General features: G+C 38.9%; 1 protein-coding gene and 1 pseudogene across 7 annotated transcripts in view; both read right to left on the reverse strand.

The window, feature by feature from the left end:
- Positions 1–26,777, reverse strand: part of PID1 (phosphotyrosine interaction domain containing 1) — a 247,315-nt gene that overhangs the window by 197,517 nt on the left and 23,021 nt on the right. The window contains exon 2 of one of the 7 annotated variants that reach the window (NM_001330158.2): positions 6,468–6,574. The exons of 5 other annotated variants lie outside the window; for them this stretch is intronic. Coding sequence is in view for 1 of the 2 variants with exons in the window: in NM_001330156.1 (NP_001317085.1) it covers positions 10,437–10,565 (129 nt within the window). In the remaining variant the exon portion in view is untranslated. Of the gene's footprint in view, positions 1–6,467; positions 6,575–10,436; positions 10,604–26,777 lie in introns of those variants that run through there. One more of the 7 variants, NM_001330156.1, reaches the window with a different exon arrangement.
- RN7SKP283 (RN7SK pseudogene 283) lies at positions 14,851–15,120 on the reverse strand (annotated as a pseudogene).

Raw genomic sequence — 26,777 nt, forward strand, 5'->3', positions numbered from 1 at the left:
ATTCCATCTGCACATCTACCTCAAACTACTCCTTCCCCAGCTGTTCATCAATGCCTCTTTCCATCTTTAAACCTTAGATTTCCCCCACGGTACTGCCCTCAGTCATCTTCTTTCCTCCTGATATTCAGTTTCCCTAGGCATCCCACACTCTCCCAATTTCATCTACGGCCACAGATAATCATGCTCAAGTTCCACCACCATTCCCTCTCTCCCAAGGAAAAGACCTATATTCCAACTGTCTCTTGGAAGAAACACAGGATGCCTCTTGATGACCTGACTCCCAGTAAACTCAACACGGAACCTGGCATGTTGCCTCCCTCCCCATTCCTCTTAACCACATCCATCCAAGCCAAAAGAGTGGCAGTCCTGCTTCCCTCCTTCCTTTCCCACATGTCCACATCTGAGCACTTGGCAAATGCCGGGGATCCCCCCTCTGACATTCCTGTCAAGCAACTCCACTCCTCTCCATCACCACATTGCCATTACTAGTTGAGGTTCTCACTTCCTGCCTAGACCATTACAAAGTCCTCCTAAGCACCCCTCTCCCACTCGGAAGCCTTCAGTGCTGTCAGAATTCCCCAAATATAAATTTACTTATAACATTTTCAATGGCTTTCCAATGTCTATAAGAACAAAGTTCAAACTCTTTAGGATGGCATCAAACAATTTTCCTTACTTACCTCTAACTTCTATTCAACCTGATCTTGGAACACTCCCCTTCATGCACCCAGAACTCCACTTACCCTGAATCACATGCCAGTGCCACAAAAAGCCCATGTGTTCGCGGGTCTACATGAGCCATAACCTCCCCATCCTGTTATGGTCACTATTGTTATTTTTATTTTTCCGTACTTACTCTTAATACCAATCTACATGTGGACATGTTTGCAATTAAAAGCATAGTATAAATATAATTTTTCTTCCCTTTTTCAATTAACATCATTAGTATTTCATACTACTATGTGGCTTTTATAATTACTTTGCTGGTTACACAGACTGTAAGAGTTAATTTTATGTGTCAACTTGACTGGACCACAGGGTGCCCAGATGTTTGGTTAAACATTGCTCATGTCTATGAGGGTGCTTCTAGATGAGACTAATATTAGAGTCAGTAAAATTGAGTGAAGCAGGTTGTCCTCCCCAGGGTACACAAGCCTCACCCAACCTGTTGAAGGCATGAATAGAATGCAAGGTTGAGTAGGAAAGAATTACTGTCTCCACCTGACTGTCTTTGAACCTTAGACATCAGTCTTCTCCTGACTTAAAACTAGGACTTCTAAGGAACCTACACCATCAGCTCTGCTGGGTCCGGATTTCTCAGCCTCCAAAATCACATAAGCCAATTCCTAATTTTAAAAAGTCTCTTCACACACAAACACACACACACACACACACACACACACACACACACATGTACCCTATTGGTTCTGTTTCTCTGGAGAACCCTAATACACAGAACCATAATTTACCAAATCACTTCCTGTTATGAGACCTTTAGGTGACTTCCAATTTTTACTATTATAAATACTATTGCAGTTAACTTTTTCCTACACATGGCTTTCGTTGTCTTTTTAATAATTGCCTCAGGACAAATTCCCAGGAGTGGGATGGCTGGGTCAAAGTATGTAGAAATTTTATGATTCCTTAAAATTGTGGCCAAATTGCTTTTCCAAAGTGGCTGTTCAAATTCCATTGCCACCATACCAAGGGCCTAGTAATTTCCCTAGTATTAGCCTAAAAAACAACCAAAAAGCCCCAAAATTATCCATTTGAAATATGCAAAATGCTATCTCATCATTATTTTAATCTGCATTTCTTTTATTATTAATAAGCTTAATTTTTCTCAAATGTGTTTACTAAGCATATTCTAATGTTTATTCATATCCTTTTGTCCATTTATCAACATGGTGTTTCTTATGCATTGGTTAAAACCTTTGTTACAAAGTTTAACCCTTTGACTGTCATATTCAATGCAAATATTTTCCCGGTGTCTTTTATTATTTGCTTTCAGCTACACTATTCACCTTATGGAAATCTAACAAGTCTATAAAACAAAGTGCTAATTTCTTCCTTCACTGTATTCTAACAGTCAGGATGGAAATTATTCTAAGAGCACAGGGTGGTTAGCGATGTGGAGTCTGGAGTCAGAACAGTGAAGGCTCCTACTGGGCTACAACACTGTCTGCCATGGGGCTCTAGACAGGATTCTGCACCTTGGTTTTCTCATCTGTGAAGCCAATAGTAACCTCCAGCTAAAGCTGTGGCAAGTGTTAGATGGACAAACACTCTCTATTTTTCTTTGATTTTAGATTCAGGGGATACCTATTCAGGTTTGTTACATGGCTATGTTGCATAATGCTGAGGTTTGGGTTTCTAGCGGACACATCGCCCAAATAGTGGACATAGTACCCAATCGGTACTTTTTCAACCCTTGATCCCCTTCCTCCCTCCTGGCTTTTGAAGACCCCAGTCTCTACTGTTTCCACCTTTATGTCCATATGTACCCATTATTTAGTTCCCATTTATAAGTGATAACATGTGGTATTTGATTTTCTGTTTCTGCATTAATTCACTTAGGATAATGGCTTCCAGCTGCATCCATGTTGCTACAAAGGACAGGATTTCATTCATTTGTATGGCTATGTAGTATTCCAAGGTCAGAATAGCTATTATTAAAAAGTCAAAAAATAACCAATGTTGGCGATGATGCAAAGAAAAGGGAATGTTTATACACTGTTGTTGGGAATGTAAATTAGTTCAGCCCCTGTGGAAAGCAGTTTGGAGATTCGTCAAAGAACTAAAACTAGAACTACCATTCAACCCAGCAATTCCATTATTGGGTATCTACCAGAAGAAAAGAAAACTCTTTCTGAGCCCCTACACTGCAACTGGTGTCCAGGAAACACAGACCAAACAATGTCGGCTGTTTCCTTCACATTATCTTTTGGGTGTCTCTCCATCTATTAAGCATTTACATTTAACTCTGTATCTGGAATTAATTCTGGTATTTGGTATATTATATAAATTTTTAATTAACTTTTTTAAGAAATTGCTACCCATTTATTCAAACATTTTCCTTCCTCTTATTTTTGAGTCATCTATTATTTATTCACTTCTTTTACAATGGACCGTCATTGTTGGTAGGCTTTTCAAAATGGACAAAATTAAAAATAGCGATCCATAAGGTAAAACAGATATTAGTACTCCACCAGAATATCTACATAAACATGGCTTTTGTTTTCCATTTGGTTTGGGGTTTTGGCTTAATTTAATTAAACTGTCCTGCTGCCAGCATTTTCTAATTAGCAATGTGGTATACTTGACTGACTGATGGATTCAGAATAAAAAAAAAAAAAAAACCTATATTCAAATGCCAGCCCTGAGATACTGTTTTGTAGCAAGTCATTTGGCCTGAACCTTTGCTGTTTTTCATCTGTAAGGTAAAGTTAACAATACCTAACCTTTTTAACTCCCAAAAACATTGTGAGATTCAAGTGAGATAATGTCTCTGAAATGTCAGGCAGGGGTATTCTTCCCATTACTATGACTATAATTGATACTATAAGGTTAGTTTCTATATTCCCTCTACTTCTGATAAATCTCCACATCCTTCTCATACCATAAAGGTAAGAGCTTGGACTGGGAGTCTGAGGACAGTTCAGGCTACTGACTTGATGATTAACCAGCAGCTAGATTCGAGGAAATTTGCATAACTTCCCTGAGCTTCAGTCTTCTCATTAGTAAAATGGAGATTGTAGTGGGAATGAAATTAGCTAATGTGTACGGAAGTATTTAGCAGCCTGTACCCACAGAGAAGCACCGGATAAATTACAGTAATGCATGGGTTATTCTCCTTGACCCTCAAGGGTCATTCTCCATCCTCTATGGATTGGATCCTTCACTTGCTCTCAGGCTTCTGAGAGGTGCCAGACAATAGGAGACATGGGAAAAACAAAGAAGCAACTGGAGAAAGACATAAGGGTGTTATTTATTCTCCCACCCCTACTCCAGGGCCAGGGTGTATTCACTTGGATGCTTCTCCTGCACCCAGGGACATAGCTCCTCTTTGGTGGCCTCTCTTCCAAAACCAAGGCTCTACTGAACCCTTTTCAGGATGAGTGGATTAGTCCCTTCCCATGCTGCTAATAAAGACATACATGGGACTGGGTAATTTATAAAGGAAAGAGGATTAATTGACTCACAGTTTAGCATGTCTGGGGAGGCCTCAGGAAACTTACAATCATGGTGGCAGGGGAAGCAAACAGGTCCTTCTTCGCATGGTGACAGCAAGGACAGGAATAAGAGCCAAGAGGGAAAAGTTCCCTATAAAACCATCAGATCTCGTGAGAACTAACTCACTATCATGAGAACAGCATGGAGGTAACCAGCCCCATGATTCTGTTATCTCCCACTGGGTCCATCCCAGAACACGTGGGGATCGTGGGGATTACGGGAACTACAGTTCAGGATGACATCTGGTTGGGGACATAGGCAAACTATGCCAATGAGAGACCATAAGAATGTCCCATTTATGCTGGCCTTCAGTGCTTCATTATCTCCTATTAATTCCCTTAATCCTAGCCACACATCTGTAAATAGTCTCCTCTTAAAGTCACTTCAGTTGATCTTTGAGTATGCCATCTGTTTCCAGCCAGGATGCTGATGCAAATCTTAGTTCTTGTTTTAATTGGTGAGCCAACCCTTCAGGGTTCATTGAGTAGTATGAGTCTGACACTTAGGCAGCAGTATCCACAACCCACCTAGATCTGTGGCCCAGTCCAAAAGTAAGCACTTCTCACACTTCCCAACTTTCCAGAATTGGTTTAACAGTTGCTTTTAAAGGTACAGAATTTCCCACTAGAGCATTTCATGGCTTTTGTTCTGAATATCACATAAAGCAAAAGATGTTGCTGAATCCAGCAGTAAAATGAACATTCTAACTGGAAGATAAATTGACTTGTTGATGTCATATCTCCTGACAAAACTTAGCACAGGATGACACCTCCCAAACCCATGGGACACCACCCAAGATGCTGGACTTCCAAGCTCCAGTGATGTTTCCTATTAGCACATTTGAGATCTGTACTATTCCAGCTTGGCCATGTTCATTCCATCAGAGCTTTGGCCAAAGAGCACTGCCAGAATGTTCACCAACACCCAAGTGTACGAGGAAATCAGAGCCTGGAAGGACTCGTGATACTGAAAGTTCCCTGATCTCCTCTGATATTTCTTTCTCATGAAACTTGCCAGAAATAAAATTAAATCCAAAATAAACTCACACATTTCAGAGATTGAACCATTTCATGACGGAAAAATGCATTTACAGTTTATACAACAGCAGACAGAAAGGAGGTAAACTGTTAGATGACCCCCTTTAAAAGTCATTTTGTTCTACTGCCACTGAAATAGTACTGTGAAAGAAAATGGGGTGTTTAGAATTTTTTTAAAAAATTCTGTAGTGTCAAACTTTCACAACTATAAAAGAGCAATCTCCATGCAAAATTTTCAAGAAGTCTGTGTTTAGGCAGAGAAATTGTTCTTCTGGTTGACTTTGTGAAGAAAAAACAAATAAACGCAAACTAAACACATATGCACAAGGAAATAACATTTTGATATTTTGATTTTTTAATGAAATAATCATAAAAGGACTTGACCTCCCAAATGTCAACCTTCCTCTCCTCGATAACTCAGATGATCAAACTTATATTGCCTAATATGATAGCCACTAGCCTTGCAACATATGACTACTTAAATTTAAATTTACTAAAGCTAAATTTTAAAATCTGCACTTCAGTCACAATAGGCACGTTTCAAGTGCTCATTAGTCACCTATGGCCAGTGGCCACTATATTGAACAGTGCGGATTATTGAACATTTTCATCATCACAGATAGTTCTAATGGACAGCATTGGGTCAAATTACTTATGTCTATGCATCTCAACTATTTCCAGTGACAGCAGATCAGTACCAGCTATCACAATTTACTGAAGTTACAGACCTTTCAGGGGTAGCAATTATCCATTCCCTTAACCTCAGCCTTCCTCTTCAGAGGCTGGAAATGCTCAAGAGGCTTGGTAAGCTTGCTACAGAACTCTGGCAAGCCCACCATCAAACAGGTGCAGATAGAATTCTACTGGGACCTCCTAGAGAAAGTTTTATTTCCCTCATAAGGGTACTGCACCTTGCTCTTTCTTCATCCCTAAACATAAATATAGTTGGCCCTCTGTACCTGTGGGTTCTGCATCAGTGGATTCAAGCAACCAGAGATCAAAAGTACTGGGGAAAAAATTGCACGTGTACTGAACAGGTACAGACTTTTTTCTTGTCATTATCTCCCAACCAACACAGGGTAACAACGATTTATATAGCATTTACACTATATTAGGTATTGTAAGTAATCTAGAGATGATGGAAAATATACAGGAGGGTGTGCATCAGTTGTATGCAAATACCATGCCATTTCATACCACGGTCTTGACTATCTGTAGATTTTGGTATTCACAAGAGGTCCTGAATCGATTCCCCAGGGATACTGAGGGACAAGTGTATTGTGACTGGAGTTGCAGCAGCCATCCTGCAACCAAAAGGCAAATGCGTGAGAATAAAGGTCAACACACCAAATCCAAGAGAATCGAGATAAAGAACCTGCAATTTTGATGGGATCTTTGTGGAGCAAATAAAACCGATACAAGCAATTATTCATCTCTACTTTTCATTAAATGAGAACTTGTGTCCCTACTTGTTCATATGACTATGAAAAGGATTTCTATTAGGAGCAGTCATTTTCTGTTACAATTGTTAATTCACAAAAGGGACATTCTGTAAACTAAGTATCCTAAAATCAAAGATAATCATTACATCTAGAACAATCCAACTGGTAATAACAATTTATATTTATATTTACTTTCATGTCAAGCCTCACATATATTTAAGCAGATAACATAATCACAAAAAGAATTTGATTGATTTTACCATTATGTAATATACGTGTGTGGAAATATATATCCTGCAAATATATAAATTTACATTTTTTAAAAGCATGGTGAGAAATTATAGGTTGAATGGCAATATACTGAAGAGTTTTAACAAATAGCTTTGGATGTGAGTGTATGGATAAATTTTCTGCTTTAAATGTGTCTTTTAATGGACACATCCTCCTTTTGTGTGTATATATGTGTAGTTTATAAACATCCAGAAACATATGTGGATAGATAATTTAACACTCTTTCAGATTTAAACAAAAAGGTATCTGCTAAAACCATGTCGGTAGTTGTTTTCCTGAAATGATATTAGAGGTTAATGAAAATATCCTTTTATCCACAAAAATACCATTTGTTCCTAAAATCCCACCATAAGAGATACTTCTAGCTTAAGCAACACAGGAGTTTTGAAGCCTGTGAAAAATACAGTTCTCCCTGAGGAGAGAACATATTCCTTGTTGGTTCTCTACCTGACCTGGTGTGAGAAATATACCTTATCTCAAAGAAATGCCTTTGAGATATGGAAGGCTGTGGCTTGGAGTCTCATCAAATTAGATAATGGAGACACGGTCTGCTGACTTCCCTTTCCAACCCAGTCCCAATGTCATCTAGGACAGCTTGGAGCTATCACTAAGTCTATGTGTGCAGTAAAGACTGTGACTTTTAGTGGGAGCTGAGTAACAATTTGTGAGTAAGTGAATGAAGGAATAAATGACCGGCAATAAAGTCCACCCTTGGCTCTAGAGCACACACTTTCTCCAGCAGTACCACCTTCTCTCAGAATGTTGCCAGCAACCTCACCTTGAAGCTACTGTGGCCTCCCAAACTCCACATTGCAATGCATTTTTTTGATGCCATGCATCATGTTTATTTTCACTCCAACTTGTAACTGGATTGCAATTGGATGTTCTTGCATTGCCCCCCAAAAATAAAATGTTTAAAAGCAATGTTCTAGGAGTTCAAGATAAGCCTGGGCAACAAGACGAAACCGCATCTCTACAAAAAAATATATGAAAAATTAGCCAGGTATGGTGGTGCATGCCTGTAGTTCCAGCTACCTGGAATGCTGAGTGGAAGGATCGCCTGAGCCCAGGAAGTTGAGGCTGCAGTGAGCTGTGATTGTGCTACTGCACTCCAGCCTGAACAACAGAATGAGACCCTGTCTCAGAAAAATAAAAATAAAGCAATGTTAATAGTGATTTTAAACACTGTTATATAACTTTCCTTATATCAAAATGTTCTACCATACAGGCAACTCAAATGTCAGAAATCCACAGGCTTTCAGATGGTTCTGTCTCTCATCTCCCACCCGTCTTCTCCCTTTCCTGGTGGAGCTGGGTTTCACCTACAAAATTTCAAAAGTAAGAAGTCCTCTTTGCTTCATGTACCCTACATCATCACATGCTGATTCTACAAAGAGGACATTTGAACTTGGCTTTAGAGCAGATGTTTTATTCAATAACTTGACTCAGGTGATCTATTAAGTTTTATTTAGTTCTTCTATTTGCACATATGGTCCATATTAAGACTATTACAAAGACACAAGGCATGCTGGGAGAGAGCTCTGCTAAGACTTTATGAAGTAAAACAACTGTCCCAGTTTGATATTTTTCCTGACATTTTAATCCATTGCTTATACACTTCTCTAATTGTAATGTTTAACCTTGGCCTGGGAAACGGGGCCAATCTAAAAGAGAGTAATTGTTTCTAATATGTTGTCAAGAAGTTTTTAGCTGTATACATGGGTAAATAAAGGTGTTCAGAACTGTAATTTGGTGCCAAAAGCAGATACCATATTGCACTTCACCATTAGAAAGAAAGAAACGAGAGAGAAAGAAAGAGAGGGAGAGACAGAGACTGACTGAATAGAATAATAAACTTTGGTCAGTGAAGCCAGGACCACTAAGGTTTTAAAGTGCTGAGATTCTTTGGTAAGTTTTGCAATATGAGCCCTTCTTGGCCCTTATGCACACTCAGATTAAACACCACTCAGATCCAAAGCTTGTTTATCTCTTTTACAACTGGAAGTTCTTCTGTGAATAACTCCTATAAGCCTCTTTGGTATAAAGCCCCCTTAAGTCATCTGCTTTGTCAGCTATAGGATTTTCAACATTTGTTTCATAAGTGTGGACCCTAATGGGATTTAAATCAAAAGAGGAATTTACTGCCGCCTTTGGGTCTTTGTAGTACCAGCTTGTGAAGCTTTGTCTGAGTTACTGGGAATGAAAAAGAAGTTAGTTTTTTAATTTTACATATCAAATCACAGTCTACTTTTCAAAATACAGCACACTATAATTTCCAAAGGGACATATTTTATACACACACACACATATGTATATAATGTTTATAGAGTATATATACTTGTTTGTGTATATATAAACACAATATAAAATATAGAATATAAGTATAGAAAATATATTACTCATTTCTCTTGATTTGTTTCTTTATTTAACACTAAACAGTATTTATTAAATGTAAAAGTTTCCACAATACCTCCTAAGAAGACAATTACAGAAATCAGTCAACTCCTCTTACTTTTTTAATGGCAAGGCATGTCCAGCCATGAAGCAACCACAGCCACATGAGCTGCTAAGTTCTCGCCCCAGCCAGTGTCCCAGCTGAAGCCTAACCGCCCAGGGCCAGGAACAGTGGCCAACACATCTGTGCTTCAGCCCGCCTCTGTCCACCTGGAGATGGGATTAGAGGCCACCGAGATCTCAGAAAACACTCACAGCTCACTAGCAGCCAATGCAATCCATGAGGTCAACTCAGGTGCAGATTAGGTCTAGTCAAGTAAAGCACACAGCCCCTCATCCAGTGAACTCAAACCCAAGCTGTCCCTTTAGTCTATGGGGGATTCATCCAAGCACCACAATTGGGCTTCTATAGTAATTTTCACAGTCAATTGCCCCATCCCCTTTGAAGCAGATCCCTTTGCACATAAAGTTATTCTGGGAATCTACCATCACATGACTATGTCACAGAAACAATGTCTCCCACTTACTTAATATCAAGCAGTAACAGGCATTTAACGTGTGCTCTCTCTAATCCTTCAAGGCAAGTACTATCAGCCCCATTTTACAAGTGACGACGATAGAGCCCAGGCACTCTGAGACATCTGTCCAAGATCACTCCACTGATACAGTAGCAGACTCAAGGCTAAAACCAAATGTGTGTGGCTTTGGAGTCACTTGGAGCTACTTCAGAAGAACAGAAGAACACTCTCTCAGCTATGCTGGAGTTCCCAAACTTTGGTCAGTTCTCTCCCATAATCAGGTTTCTGTCATTCATGTTGCCATGGATGTGTCTCAATAGTCCAGATGTGTGATGGCATTTTACCAAACCTACTTCCCACTCCTCTTCTTTTACCTCCTTGTCTTAATCTGTTTGTGCTGCTATAACGAAATACCACAGAGTAGATAATTTATAAAAAAAAACAGAAATTGATTTTCTCACCGTTCCGGAGGCTAGGAAGATCATGATCAAGGTGCGGGCTTGTTTGATTGTCTTGTGAGAGCTGCAGCACTTGGAAGGAAGGAATGCTGTGTCCTCACACAGTGGAAGGCTAAGGGGCAGGCTGAACATGGCACGAAGCCTCTTGTACAAGGCTTTTCATTCCATTCAAGAGGGGAGGAGCCCTGATGACTTAACCACCTCTTAAAGGTCCCTCTTGGCCGGGTGCAGTGGCTCACGCCTGTAATCCCAGCACTCTGGGAGGCCGAGACAGTCAGATCATGAAGTCAGGAGATCAAGACCATCCTGGCTAACACAGTGAAACCCCATCTCTACTAAAAACACACAAAAAAATAAAAATTAGCTGGGTGTGGTGACGGGCACCTGTAGTCCCAGCTACTCGGGAGGTTGAGGCAGGAGAATGGCCTGAACCTGTGAGGCAGAGCCTGCAGTGAGCCGAGATCGTGCCACTGTACTCTAGCCTGGGTGACAAAGCAAGACTCCATCTCAAAAAAAAAAAAAAAAAAAAAAAAAAGTCTCTCTTAAGGTCATCACTTTGGCCATTAAGTTTCAACATCTGAATTTTGGAGGGGACACATTTAAACTATAGCACTCCTCAACCACGTATGCAGAGAAGGAAATCAGAGATAGGAAGATAATGTCACCTAACGTTCCTCTCCCTTTTCCAACCTCACCCATCTCCACTCAACAAAATCACATCAATTTGTGTGTGTGTGTGTATGCATGTGTGTGCTATGTATGTATACATACATATATATATATACACACATTCCAATATGATGCATTGTTGTTAATAATGTTTGTTGACTGACCAAAAATGAATATATATACACACACACACATAAATATATATATATATATATATATATATATATATATATTTACATGCATGTGTATGTGTGTGTGTATTCACACTTATAGGAAAGAAACTGCCGAAGAAAGTATATGAGATATGAAATGCAAACTAAAGCAACAGAAAGTCACTCCGAGTTGAGACTGGAGGATGTGTTTCTCAAGTCTGCTTTTCCATATCATAGTATGGCCACTAAAACAAGTGAACAAGTGTGTGTTCCATTTCTCAATAAAGCAGAGCTGTAAACTGTTCAATGGGAAGTGCCAAGAGACTCTTATTAGCAGAAAGCGCAAGAGGAGAAGGCAGCGGATGTTTTCATAAATCACATAAATTCCTTAGTTTAATTTTTTTAAATAAGATCTTTGTTAGAAAATAAAAAATCAGAATGGTTAAAATTGCCTTACGTCTTTCATAATATAATATGAATTATTCAAATTGGATTACTTGTTCAAAGCTGGAGAGGTTTTAGATGTGCAAAGAGAACAACAGGATAGGAATAATATATTTTGTAATATGAGAACATTTAGAAGCTAAAGGCCAGCTGGCATGTCATCATAAGGTCTTTTGAACTACTTAATAGTTCTAGATGTACATGGGCAGGGTGGGGATGGGGCTGGGAGACCAAGATGAAAAAAGAGGTATAGAAATGAAGGGTCTTGAAATCCAGGTAACTGAAAGTAGTCAGTGTGCTAGATTTTTTTTTTTTTTTTTTTGAAATGGAGTCTCACTCTATCACCCAGGCTGGAGTGCAGTGGAGCGATCTTGGCTCACTGCAACCTCCACCTCCCGGGTTCAAGCGATTCTCTTGCCTCAGTCTCCCAGGTAGCTGGGATTACAGGCACCCACCACCACGCCTGACTAATTTTTGTATTTTTAGTAGAGATTGGGCTTCACCATGTTGGCCAGGTTGGTCTGGAACTCCTGACCTCAGGTGATCCACTCACCTCAGCCTCCCAAAGTTCTGGGATTACAGGTGTGAGCCACCACACCCAGCCTTGTGCTAGATTTTCTATAGTTATTATACAACGAGGAAACCTCTACTACCAGCATGTGTCTCAGTTATTTTTACAGAATTGTTTTTAGCCAGTCAATCAACAAACATTTATTATTTACAACAATGCATCATGTTAGGATAGGCACAAAAATATCCTTAGTCTCAAGAAGCATATGACTTGGAAGGCTAAGACGTACAGAAAATACCCAGAAAATAATGTATAATCCCTGATAAATGTGTTGAACACCATATGCCAAAGATGATCAAAGCTGTGGGGAAAGGCCAGCATGTTGACCAGAGTAGCCAGCGCTTCATGAAAGGTTATGTCTTGAACTTAACTTTGAAAAATGAAGAGGAATTAGAGACATTGAGCCAAAACAGAGAAGACAAATAAAACCTAAAACCATGGAGGGCCCTGAAAGAAATACAAAAAGAAGATCAGCTAGACTTCAGGTATAGGATTTAAAGCTGGTCAATTAAAGTTGTTAATTCCTTAAAGTATGGGCATTATAGTGGGTTAGCCAGGTGGGTCCAGTGTAATTCAAGGGTCTTTTAAATGTAGAAGAGGGAAGAAGACAAGTCAGTCTCATAGTGATGCCATGTGAGACAGATGCAAGTGCCTTTGAATACAGAAAGGGGCCACAAGCCTAGGAATGTGAGCAGGGAAACTTCTGGTAGCTTAAAAAGGCAAGAAAACAGCATCTTCCCTAGGCCTCCAGAAGTAACTCAGCCCTAACAACACCTTGATTTCAGCCCAGTAAGATCCATTTGGGGCTTCTGACTTCAAAATCAGTAAAATCATAAATCTGTATCATTTTAAGCCAATAAATGTGTGATAATTTATTAGAGCAGTAAGGGAAACTAATGTATGGAATGTTCTCAAATTTCAGGTATTAGGGTGAGAATGGGGGGCCATTTGCCTACTAGAAATATACCCATCTCTTTAACTGAAGAGAAAGCTAACAGGAGGTTAGGTAAGTAAGTAGTAGGTAAGTCTGGAGTTTCTGATAGCCACTGACCATCAAACAAGGACCTATTGTGAAAGACCATGGCGTTTTCAGAGCACCTAGCATGGTGCCTGATGCTAAATATTAAATATAAAAACTCCCTTCATAAATATTAATAGCAATTCTTACATCATTAGTGACTACAAGTCCAGTTTTCTAAATCCTGGTAATCAAATGCATCATGCTTTATTTTGAGTACTGAAATAACAGTTGTGATACTATTATCTCAGCCTCTGATCAACAGCTTTTTGTCCCCTTTCTTGTCCCTCTCCAGTGTTTCCTCCTCTCTCCCACCCTCTCTCTAGGCTTCTCTGCTCCTCTTCACCACTCAGTTCCTACAAGTACAGCTCTCTCCCTCCAGCCCCTCAAAAGCCATCAAAAGTTTGACCCCTGTGGCGGGAGGAGCTCTCAGAAGCAGTGAGTCTCTCCACTGGAGAAAAGGAAAAGTAAGGCAGATTCAGGAGGAGAAATCAATCAAAACCACAGCTACTCTACTCAGAGCCTGAGGCAGAGCAGAGGAGCTGCCCACAGGCTGTGGTCCTGAAAGTTTGCACTCAAGGGAGCAAAACAGCAGGAAGAGTCTGAAGTCTGTTGACTAAGACCTCAGAAGGTGGTGACTTCCAAGGAGACACGAGAAAGGGAAAGGACACAAGAGAGCGAATGGTAACTAGATGGGTGATTTGCAATATGTTTATGTGTTTTTTTTTTCTATTAGAAATCTGTTTAAGATTTATTTTCATTTATTTTTCCTGACTTTTGAACTACTTCTTTCTAGAAACACTAAAATTAATCCTTGAAATAGTCACTGGAACGCTGGCACCAACACTGTCCTCCACTGTTGCAATCACTGACAAGTATTATCGTTGTTCTTGAGCAAGGAAAGGGTGAGCTCATGCAGTGACATTGTGGTCCTATTAGTTACTTCAAATGGATGGGCTGGAGAGATGAGAGATTAAAATCATTCCAAGAAACTGGCTAATCGGCATTCCAGTCTGAAGCAAGAAGAAACGCCAGCCAAACAGACCTCCATGGAAAGAGATTCAACATGATGGCTTCCAGGCATCTCGGGACGGGGGGCCAGGCAGGAGGGAATAAAAAAGACCTATGGCCAGCTGGACGCAAAAAGCAGCTTGTGGCAAAGTTGGCAAAACATATGAAGACATTTATTCTTCAGCAGTTCTTCAATGGAGTGGAAAACCAAAGCCTGTATTTTGAAGAAAGGGGTATGAATATTATCTTGGAACAAGATTCCCTGAGATGTGAGGCAGCACATCACCCGAAGATGATCTGTTGAGGCTCGATGAGCATACAAGTCTACCAACGACTTACTCTATGACCATATTAGCAATGGTTTTTGGCTTTTGAAAAAAAACATGTTACCTTTAGACAGTCACCCATGGGGTCAATTCAGGTACAAACTTTTAAGAAAGAGGCCCTCTTTTAAGCACAGAAGTCTCCTTAACATAAACTCACCCCCAAAGAAAAGTGAGGAACAGAAGGAAGAAGAGGGAGGAACAGGGGCCACCTCACGATGGCAGGTCAAAAAACTTGCAAGAGATTTGGAGAGTTAGGCATCCCTTTCCAGATAGAGTGGTCAGTCGCAGCTTCACAAAGACGGTTCTCCCACTTTAAAGGAGCAAAGCCACCTTCTTCTGAGAAGGTCACCGTTTTCTGCTGGGAATGAAATTTCAGGAGGGACTTTCCTGAAATGGTAAAGGAGAAAGGAGCAGCCCAGTCTGGACAGTCAGAACAACTGAATAAACCCTGGTTATCAGTGGGGAAAGAGGCTGTCACCAGGTCATTTTCACATCTTACAAAGGAATCTTCAAGGAAGAGCAGAGAGATAGCAGATAAGAAAGCATGCAAAGGTGGAGAGCATAACTTGAGGAAAAATGAAGAAGAAGAAAGCAGGCGACTATCACCAGGTAGAAGGAAGAGGCCAGGAGGGTGATGTGGAAGACGATGGGTTACAGAAGACAGATAAAGCCACAGTAATTATCACAGAGCAGGGTAGGCAAACTATACCCAGTTCCAAACCAGCACAATACCTCTTTATATATTAAAGGTTTATGTAAATGCAGCCACACTCACTTGCTCATGTGTTGTTTATAGATAGCTATTTCATACTACAACATCAGGGTAGTGTGTCCCGCAAAGCCTAGCATGCGGCCTTCTCCTTTACACACACATACACACACACACACACACACACACACACACACACACACTGACTTCTAATATAGATGAGGATCTAAGTATTTTGGAAATCTTGTAAAATATTACTCCATATTAAGAAATTAAAACAAACAGAGGAACTACATGATAGATCATGAGTAATCAAGAAAATTACCCATTTTGGGAGCTAGGAATTCTTTTTGCATCCAGAGAATAACAATAGAAACCCAAACTAAACTTTATTCTTTCTGTGAATATGTTCAAGGAATTAGGAAAAAATATGCAGTCACCAACACCTGTCAGTGTTGTAGAACGAGGCAGTCAACACATAAAAAGATATCTACAGTTATGAATTACTTTGGTGGACAAGAGAAGCAAACAAATGTTATGTGAACATCTCCACTTACAATTTTCAGTCATTCAAGCGTATCCCCTATAAATATTGCCACACCAAACTGACCTAACAAGCATTATTCTCTAGAGAGAACACTGTTTTGATGGAAGAGATAGCAATTGTTTGCACAAAAATCACCTTGTACAACAGAAAAAAAAAGGTTTTTTAATCTCTGCCAAGTGCAAAGCTGTTCACTTGCTTCTAATTATAAGTGGTGTGAGAAAAGGGAAAGGGACCTAGGTAGAGAAGGAGATGAAGGAGAAACATTCTAAATAGGTGTTTTGCTTAAAATTGAAGGCTATCCTAACATAAATAAGAAATTGGAGTAAAAGTGACATTTCTTAAATATCTATACATTTTCATGTCCTTTACCCGCCCCATACACACAAGCACGTATAAATACTTATTTGAATTCTGATATCAGAATGACTGATAAATTCTCAATTATTGAAGCAAACCATGGAAAGGAAGTCTATGGAATTACTAACACTGGAGTTAATTTATACTGACACTGGAATTAATTTACACAGACACATAACAAAATTAATCATTCCAATTTTAATTAATGTTCTTCTTTTACTCTCCTCTACTAAATGAAATCTACATGGTAGAAAAAGTGGAGCTAGTATCAAACTAATTAGTAACTCTGAAGGTTACTTTAAGTTTTCACTTTTATGTTAAAATATGACCCCATTAAGTTTCAATTTAGATAGTTCCTTTCCATTTAATATGAATTGCCTTACTTCTTTAAAACATTATATTTCCTTGGTGGTCAAGAAAATAAATATATCTTGGAGTGCAAATGAATCCCTCAATTGTCATGAGTGGAATTGGAAAGCCTGCCTCTAATCATCCAACAAAGTTTTTTAAAGGGGTTGGGTTGGAGACCATAACTCAGTGGGATAAAGACTTCATTCGAGCATGAATTGCTCTCAAAATCATCCAACTTTATACTATATTCGCAGTTTAAAATGCCAAACCATATCATCGCTCAGTTGATCTTGGAAAGTTTCAAAAACCGCAGGCCAGAGCCCAAAGATAAATTGGTCAGTGAATTCACTACTTCCAGAAAGAGAGAAACTTTTGAAAGAAAAGAGGCCATAGTGGCTCTAGCAGCGCAATCGATTAGCGTACAGTACTTATAAGAAAAGAGGCCATAAACATTTGTTTGCCTTACGAATAAAGTACAGCATTCCCTCTCCTTGATCAAGGTAGCTTTGGCTACTAGTTTGGGAGGTGGGATAGTCTACAAATGAGTAAGAAAGGCCAGAGTTAATCTACAAAGACACGAACTTTCACTCCACCTCTTGCATTTTTAAAAAGAAACGAGTAAGTCTCTGGCCTCACAGGGAAGACATGGGCAGGGATAAGAGGAGACAGGCATTACCAGGCATCTCAGAGAGCATTACCAAGTGGGCTGCAGCATGGGTGCTAGTATTGGTCAAACCAGCATCATCATCAAGGCTCCACTACTAAACACCTTGACTTTGGCTACCTTCTTTCCTAAACCTGTTTCCTCACAGTAACACAGCAATAGCATTAGTAATGACCTCAAGAATATTGTAAAGATATTACCACTAATTATTGTTACTATTTAAAATACATCACTTAATTTGAAAAGTGGTTTATTCAACACCCCGCTACTATCACCACCAAGAACTCTTAGATTCTGCTTTACCTTTGTTGTCAAATAACCAAAAGGATGAGAAAAAAATGATTTAAGTTTTTTCTTACTATAGAGAACAAGTTCTCAAACTTCATAGAGCCTCAGAATCTCTGGGAAAGCTTGTTAAAGCACAGATTGCTGGGCTGCACTCCCAGAGTTTCAGATTTAGTAAGCTAGCGGGAGGGGCCAAGAATTTGCATTTATTACAAGTTTCCAAGTGACAGATGCTGAAGAACTGAGGACCAATTAGAGAACCACTGCTGTAGAAGAAGTTTATAGTCATTGGTTGGAAGCCTTTGGTTGAGAGGGAAAAGAGACTGAGACTCACAAATTCCTGGAGGAAACGAGTAAGGGAAAAACACAGAGAGAGGAATGCCCACCTTGCCCTTTACAGCCACAGACAAGAAGACAAAGCCGAACCCCCCGTGTCAATCAACACTAATGCGGTGGGAGCCTGAGAGCCTCAATGTTGGCTATGTAGAGATTTCAAACTCTGCTGTGGAAAGGAAATATGTTAGACATCTAGGGGGTTATGACTAGATTTAGGAATAGGGGATGGAAAGAAAAAAATTTCACAATAAACCTTTTAAATGATGATCTCTTAAGCTCCATTTTCTAATATATTCAAAGAGAAGGTCATGTTCAGAGCAGCGATGAAATTTAAGTCACTAATCCTTCACTGAATTATTTCAAGACATTGAAATTTTATTTTAATTAGATGGCTTAAGTCATTTACAATGTAATTCTGGACTACTTTTACAACTTGCTTTTGGTAGCATTAATTTGTAACACTCATGTATAAACTACATGTAAGAGTACACATAAATACTCACAAGACAGAGGCGTAAAAGATAATGATTTTATTGTAATCCAATTCAACCTATATTCCTGGCACTATTATACTCATAAAATATGCATTGAAAACTCTAGGTGGGAGTTCTATTTTCATCTATATCTAAATAGTCCAACAAGGCAAGACTGAACCATTAGGCCTGCTGGAAAGTATGTCACCTGGCAACAGCCCAAAGCCATTCAACTCTGAAAGTGTTATTAGAAGAAAGAAAAGTCAATGTAGGTAAAACGTCACATTTTCATTATTACAGATGCAAACAGATACATTGCTAATTATTTTCCAAAATCACTTCATCCTGGCAATATCATGAAAATAAAAATGAAGAATAAATATCAAATTCCATTCCCGAAGCTTAGTATTTCCAGACGTGTTTTACAAATAAAATGAATCCCCTGAGACATTCTGTGAATAAAGGATTTATGGTCAAAAAAAAAACTTGGATATCAGTGAATGTGACATCCTCTTCTTAGAACTTCTCTATTACTGAGAAGTCATACAGTACAGAAATCTACTTAGCTTTGTGTAACTCAGAGGTTCCCAAACCAAGTAAGCAAAACATCTTGTTTTCATGTCCATGGTGTATCTCTCCTGGATATAGAGTTCTGGGTTGACAGATTGCTCTTTTCTTTCACCACTTAAAACAAGTCATTCCCATTGCCTCCTCCTTTCCATTATTTCTGATAAGTTAGTGAATATTCATCATTGCTGTGTATATAATGGACTGTTTTTCTCACTGTTGTCATGATTACCTCATTGCTTTGACTTTCAGCATTTTGACTATGATTTGCCTAAAAAACAAAAGTGTAGTTTTCTTTAGATGTCTCCCACTTATGGTTTGCAAAGGTTCTTGAATCAAGTTAATATTTTTCACCAAATTTGGGAAATTTTTATCCATTATTTGTTAAAATATTGTTTCATGTGCCAGTCTTTTTCTTGTCTCTTTCTGGGACTGCAATCACATGTATCTTATATTGCTTGATGTGTCCCATATGGGGCTCTGTTAATTCTTTTTATTTCTTCTACATTGTTCAACTGGAGTAATATCTATTGATCCATTTTCACATTCACTGGCCTTTTCTTCTTTCTTCTTCAATTTGCTGTCAGGCCCATATTGCAAAATTTTCTATTTTAGATATTTTACTTTTCAATTCCAGAGTTTCTATCTGGCCCTTTTGTAAACTTTTCATTACTCATTTGAGATTTTCCATTTGTTCACTCCTTATGACAAAATCCTTAGTTCCTCTAACAAATTAATAGTAGCTGTTTTAAAGCATTTGCTATTCCCACAGCTGTGTCTTCTTAGGGTCTATTTTTATTGACTCCTTTTTCTCTTGTTTATGTTTCATTTTCCTGCCAGAATTTTTTTAGTTTACACTGACCATAGTGGATGACACATTTTAGGACTCTGTATTCTGTTCTCATTCTGCAATAACAGGACTATTGATTTGTGTTTTAAAAAGCAGTTAAATTACTGGCTAATCACCTTTAACATGTGGAGGCTTGACTTTTACAGTTTGGTAGGCTAGGTCTGTTTCCATTTTGCCCTCAGTCCAACAGAAAAATTTATTTTACCCAGAAAAGCCTATAAAACACTATTAACCTAGCCACAGAAATCTGATTGTTGCACAAATAAAACAGAATGAAAAAGTATTCTTTATGAGAGCACAGGTTTTTAAGAGGTCCAATTCTTTCTTTATAATTCTGAAAGCTACTCAAACTATATCCTTTCCTGAAAAGTTAGTGAGTTATTAGGTAGTACAAATTCTCAGCATTGTAAATCAAGCTTTATTTTCCCCCATATGGTCAGAAAAGTTATAATAATCAACCTAGATCACCAAATAAGAAGCAAAGCACCTAACCACTTCTCTGCTGAAGTTAAAATAGAATCTTTTCATTTTTTCACCTGCTTTCTTACAAAAGTTACCTTTTTTCAAAACTCACATATAACAAAATGCTTACATATAATACAGAACTGTCTTGCTCCCATCTTCACCACTTTTGACAAATTCATAAACCTCTATAAGTACCCTTTTTCTCCCTTGTAAAATACTAGTAACTAGTAACTAGTAACACAGTACCTCTTAAGCACAGCATCAGGTACAGAGCTATCACTCAGTAAATCAGTGTTTTTGTTTTTGTTTTTGTTTTTGTTTTTGTTTTTGAGATGGGATCTCACTACATCATTATTTCACCCAGGCTTTTCTCAAGCTCCTGAAACTCAAATGATCCTCTGGCCTTGGCCTTCCAAGTAGCTGAGATTACAGGTGGGAGCCACCATGCCTGGCTAGTAAATAGCTATTTTTAAAGTCAGAGACCTCTACCTCTAGATCATGAGGTGGAAAAATATTTAATCCAACAACTAAAATAGAGTTTTCCTGTTCTGCCTAATTAGAGGCCAGCTAAAATCAAAACTCACAGCACTTGCTATGACTCAGCTCACTCCATATAATAAGAACTGCATGTCCACAAGCTAAAATATAGCTTAGTTATAGGTCCAAAAGAAAAACCCGTGATTCTACACCCACCCTATCCCACTGCCACCTGAAATATGCTGCTTCGACTGGTAAAACTGGCTGACTCCATATCTGGCCTCATGCTCCACTCAGCTGCCTACACTAGGAACCTCAGGACTCTCCTCTACATTTCCCGTCCTCTCTAATCAGCTGTCAACCCATTCTGCCTCTTCACCCTCACTCAAAACCTCTGCCACCTCCTCAACCCCAAAGTCACTGCTTTAGATGACATCTTCATCCCCTTTTGCCTGTACCATTTCCAACAGCCTCCTTAAAACATTTCCCTGCTTGCAATACATTTTCTATACCACCAACAGAATCATCTTAAAACCAATCTGAGTCATTTGTTACCTATAAGCTCCCAATAGTTTCCCAGTGCCTAGAAAATGAAGTCCATGCTCAGTAACATCCTATAAAATGTTGTGCTATAGCCCAGTTGTGCTTCCATACTCTTTCACTCTAGTCCTTCTCCAACCCTTCAGCCTCATGTGATGTGCTCACTCTTGTCTGGAACAGCCTGAGTTCACAGCTCTGTGAAGATTCTTCCCTATGCCTAGGGTAATCTTCTCTACCTACCAAATGCCTATTCATCCTTATATTAGTCCATTCTCACGTTGCTGATAAAGATATACCCAAGACTGGGCAATGTACAAAAGAAAGAGGTTTAATGGACTAACAGTTCCACATGGCTGGGGAGGCCTCACAATCATGGTGGAAGGCAAGGAGAAGCAAGTCACATCTTACATGGATGGCAGCAGGCAGAGAGAGCTTATGCAGGGAAAGTACCATTTTTAAAGCCATCAGATCTCGTGAGATTTATTCACTATCATGAGAACAGCATGGGAAAGACTCACTCCCATGATTCAATTACTTCCCACTAGGTTCCTCCTACCACACATGGGAATTGTGGGAGTTACAATTCAAGATGAGATTTGGGTGGGGACAGAGCCAAACCATATCAATCCTTAAACAGGTTACATCGTCTTCTTTGTGAAGGGTTCCTTTCTAGGGCAAGGTTTATAATTCCCCACTCTGCTTTTATTATAGCACTGATTCTGCTGTACTGTAATTACTTATCCATAGGTCTATTGCGTCCTCAAGACTGCGCACTCCCAGAAGACAATGACAATGCCTGGTATAGTACCTGGCTCAGAGTAGGTGCTCAAGAAACATTTGTTGAATTAATAAATGAATATCACCTTTAAAAAAATTTTCTGTAGCTAACATTCTACAGGTACGTGGCATTTGAATATGAAGCCCAAAGATGAAAAACAAGAATGAAACAAAGTATCTGCCTCACAGTAAATCCCACCACCCAAGGGAACTAATCAAATAAAACAATAAATAAGGAGGCTTAGTATTAATCTCAATCATCTTTATCTGTATTCCTCCAATACCAAGAGAAATGAAACTCATGTATTTTTACACAAAGTTACATCTACACCATTCAAAGCCCAATTTAGTAACTCTCAGCTTTTCCTAGCTCATACATTTTTGTTATAATGCTTTCTTTTCAGATCATCTAAGTTTTTTTAAAAAATCATCTTATCTTGGTTTTTGTCAAGCAAAGGTTAATATTGGATACTTTAATCACAAAACTCATGTTTGGCACTGGGTCTTGGCAGAAAGCCCCACGTGTAATTTCTCTGGGACTAAATTACTCATTTCTAATATAAACATAAGAATAAAGCAAAAACTAGCATTATGTAAACAAAATATGTTATTTTTTAGTTCTCAACTGAAAACTCATGCAACCTCATTTAACCACTATTTCAATGAGACATGGGATTTTAATGTGACACAAGACAAACCAGGATCCCTTGTTAAGCAGTCAGCATAGTCCAAAAGAACCCCATACCCAGTAGCCTTTTTCCAGTCAAATTTTTAAGCAGTCTGGTTTCATTTTTTCCAAATACAGAACCAAGTATCCCTGATTCTTATCGTCATCCAAACAACTGCAACCAGCTGTGAAAACTAGAACTAGGAATCAAGTCTGTCTATAGGGAGTCCCCTCAAAGCTACTAAGCATGACTGTTTTCATCAACAAATATTCATGACCCTATTTTCCAAAATTCCAACTCTGCCAACCATTTCATTTTAAAAAGAGAGAAAGCAAATGAGACAGAAAGAGAGATTCAATCCTTTAAAATCCTTTAATTTTTCTTCCTTTCAACTCAGTCAAAATTAGGTAACCTCTCATAAGAAAGTTAATTATCTTCTCCTCTTTTGGGATTTTATTTTGTAACCCCCCAAATAATGCATTTATTACAAACACAAGATACCTCTTCTATTGCCACAATCCTCACATATTATCTAATCTGCAAAAGCAATTCCCTACTTTGTTAAAAGTAAAACCATGGACTCTTCCTTTCCCATTTCCTTATTGAGAGCTTCATGTCCCAGGCTTTGCTCTCTGGATTCCCATCAGAAGGTTCCTACAAAATCCTCCCTACCTTATGCTCTGCCTCTGCAGCATTAGGTATGACATCTGCCATGGCATTAGCCACTTCAGTGCTCAGAGAAATAGAAAAACCATCCTGGAGAACTTCAAAACTCCATAAGCAGAAGCTTCAGGTAATAGAAAGGGAGCGTTACTTGCTTTTCAGTTGCCTAAGATCAAAATCGCACACACAGGTCTGTTGTGTTGCAAAGCCCATCTCCACCAGTAGACATGTTTTTCTTTACACTTAAAAGAGCTGTCCAAACTAATTAAGGCATTTGCATCTTCTCCTTGACAACACTCTTAAAAGCCCACCTGTTGTGTGAAACTCTTCTGCATGACTAAGTCTCTTGCACTCCCTTTTTCCTGTGTTCCCTTTGGAGCACATGACTTCATAAAGCTTGTCTCTTGGCCATGTGCCTCCCTACTCCCAAACAAGGCCAAGATGAAAATGATGCTTCTTGTAACACTCCAAGCCTCCTGGTAAAAGATGCAGTGGTGGATATAAGCTCAAGTGCTTCTTACTCCTCATTCCCAAGTTCAAGTGAAAAAGGCAACTTGTATTGCCTTGCCTACTTTCCTTCCCTCTCATCAGCCTTTACTAACAACAATTATAATCCTGAAGGTATGAAGATGCTACTTGTTTTAATCAGAATAGATTTGTGCACATTACATTAAAAATTCTTACAAATTCTTAACACTTACTATTACTTAGAGTGCAAATTACAGTGCTGCTTACCAAGACAATTAGCACTGGGGGTCTGGGGCAGCTATGCCACACCTTTTATCAGCAGACTGATAAAAAATACTTGAACGTATTTTATAGTTTATGAAACATTTTTACATATATTATCTCATTTCACACTCAGAAGAAGCTAATGAGGTAGATTTTATTAGACTCATTTTGCTGAATGGGGAAATTGAGGCTCAGAAGTTTGTGTAACTTGCCCAAAGTTATAAAGACAGTACTTAGTAGGGCTAAAACTTCCCTGAAAATTTCCCAATTCCTAGTTCTACCCTGTTCCCATTATACCACGTTCACTTAGGCCAAGGGAATGTTTAAGTCATGTTTTATCCTGCATCCTTCATTTTGGCTGTAGTTTCGTTGGTTGTTGGGCTGTTTTTCGTGCTCTGTTTGTTTCATTTTGCAGACCAAATTGTGACAGGTACTTCTTTGGTAAACCTGAACAAATAAGAGTTATTTCTTCTCTTTTCTGTAGAAATAAAAACAGAATTTGCATATAATAGCAATCGCTGATTCCTGTCTAGGCTAGTTAGAGTTTAAAAAGTTGGAAGACCTCACCCACAGCAGTTCCAAATGCAATGCTTTACATTTAGGTAATTATCAATTATCTTTCAAATTCATATTAGCCAGGGAGCCAATACAGCCAGCCTACCAGAAGGAAATGATGCTTCAAACTGCGGAGCTGCTGGCATTCAGGTCATGAAATAACATAACTATGAAATTATGCAAGTAAATACCATCCTCATTCACGTAACATTTGAAAAATAATTGCTGTAAAGGAAATAATGGAATATCATGCAATATCCCTGCAAGGTCCATTTTCAGGCCCATATTTCACTACACAGAAACACACATACACATAATTGAAGAGTTAGGCTTCCTTGGTTACATACCCGTCTAACAATAAACAAGCTGGAAGTCAGTCACTCTATTCATGTTGAGCTGTGGGCACACACACCCATTTATTATCTGTGGGACTGACTGTGCCGCAAACTTTAGTGGCAATAAATAGTTGCAGAGGAAGAACCATCCACGGAACAAATAAAAACATGAGTGGATTCCAAAAAGTACAAAGATTTGCTCAACAAAACTCACTAGGCAAGGCCAGCATTATAAAAACCTGCCTCCAATCCTTCAACTGAAGCAAAATGTCTCTGGCAACTGGGAATAGTTAAAATTTCCTATTTTCTGATTATTCCAAGTGCTTACCTCTGCACATCCGGTCTCCAGCTGGGTTGGTCAGCACAAGAAGTCGCCTAAGAAAGCCAGTTCTCACAATCTTTTCAGACCAATTTAGCAATTTGCAAAATGGAGAAGGTTTATCATGATGGAAAAAAAGTAAGGTAGCCTCAGCAGTAAAAATAACCAAAGCCACAGACAATGACCCACCAACTCAAGTACAGAAACAGAATCCACATCACAATAAGAAAAATTCTACTCAGGGAAAACAGAAAGGGAATATAAATAAAACCAGAAAACTTCTATCATTAATGTGCATATGGGGCAAACTGAATACAAAGCTCCATAGAGGAGCAAAAATTTAACAATGATGATTTCTAGAAAGCACGGTGTATCATTGAGGATTAGCTTCAGCTGCAAATGAAAGATAAAGCAAAAGAACATTGGTTTAAAGGACATAGACATTTCCATCTCTCACACAGAAACAAAGCCTGGAGTGAGAGGCCCAAGGCTAGTATGAAAGCTCCAGAACTCACACATCTTTATGTTCTACAGTTCTTAGCACATGGCTCCTCTCACATGGCTTAAAAGGGCCTCTCAAATGACCATCACATTTATATTCCTGCCAGATTACAGGAAGAAGAGTGCAGAGATGCATGCATCCTGCCTGTAAGATATCCCTGCTTATGTCCCACCAACTACAACTAAATTGCTGTAGGACTAGCGCAAGTGAACTTGGAAATAGCAAAACATCTCATAACTAGTGCAAGCGAACTTGGAAATAGCAAAATATTTCTTTACAATTGGCATTTGCAATGGTTGGAAGATAAATATTTTACAGCTCGAGGGAATTCAGGGCCTTGGGGTCCATGCAAACATCCAAAAGATATTTAGAAACTACCTACTTTTGCCGGATACTAGGCTCTGCACTGGAGAACAGCCCCTGCCTTTAGGCACAGACACTTCAGTGACCACCACTCCCTAAAACAACTAGAAGTGACATTTATGAACACGCATGCATAATGTCTTCTTCTTTAACAGTTTACTTGGAAATAACCTCCAACATACCAAAACACAGCAAGAATAAGACAGCTTTATCAGATCTACCAACCACCAACACTTTATCACATTTGCTTTATTATATATTGTCATTCTCACTTATTCACTTTCTCCCACCTCCTTCTCTTACTACTCCTCTTCCTTCTCATCCTCCTCATCCTTCCTTCTCTCTCTTCCCTTTCCTTACCTTTTTCCTCCCTTTACCCACATGCATTTGAGAGTAAGATACAGACGCTATTTCCCCTTCATCCCTAAATATATCAGTATATATTTCCTAAGAACAAGAACATTCTCTTGCCTAACCATAGTAAAATTATGTCACCAACTAACTCAGTGAAGTCATTTATACTAATGTTTTTCCTGGTCCAGGATCAAATTCAAGATCATGTACTGCACTGGGTTGTCATGTCTACTCAATCTGGACCAGTTTCTTAGCCTTTTTTTC

This window comes from Homo sapiens, chromosome 2 (genome assembly GCF_000001405.40).
Source record: "Homo sapiens chromosome 2, GRCh38.p14 Primary Assembly".
In the NCBI taxonomy this organism is placed as follows: Eukaryota; Metazoa; Chordata; class Mammalia; order Primates; family Hominidae; genus Homo; species Homo sapiens.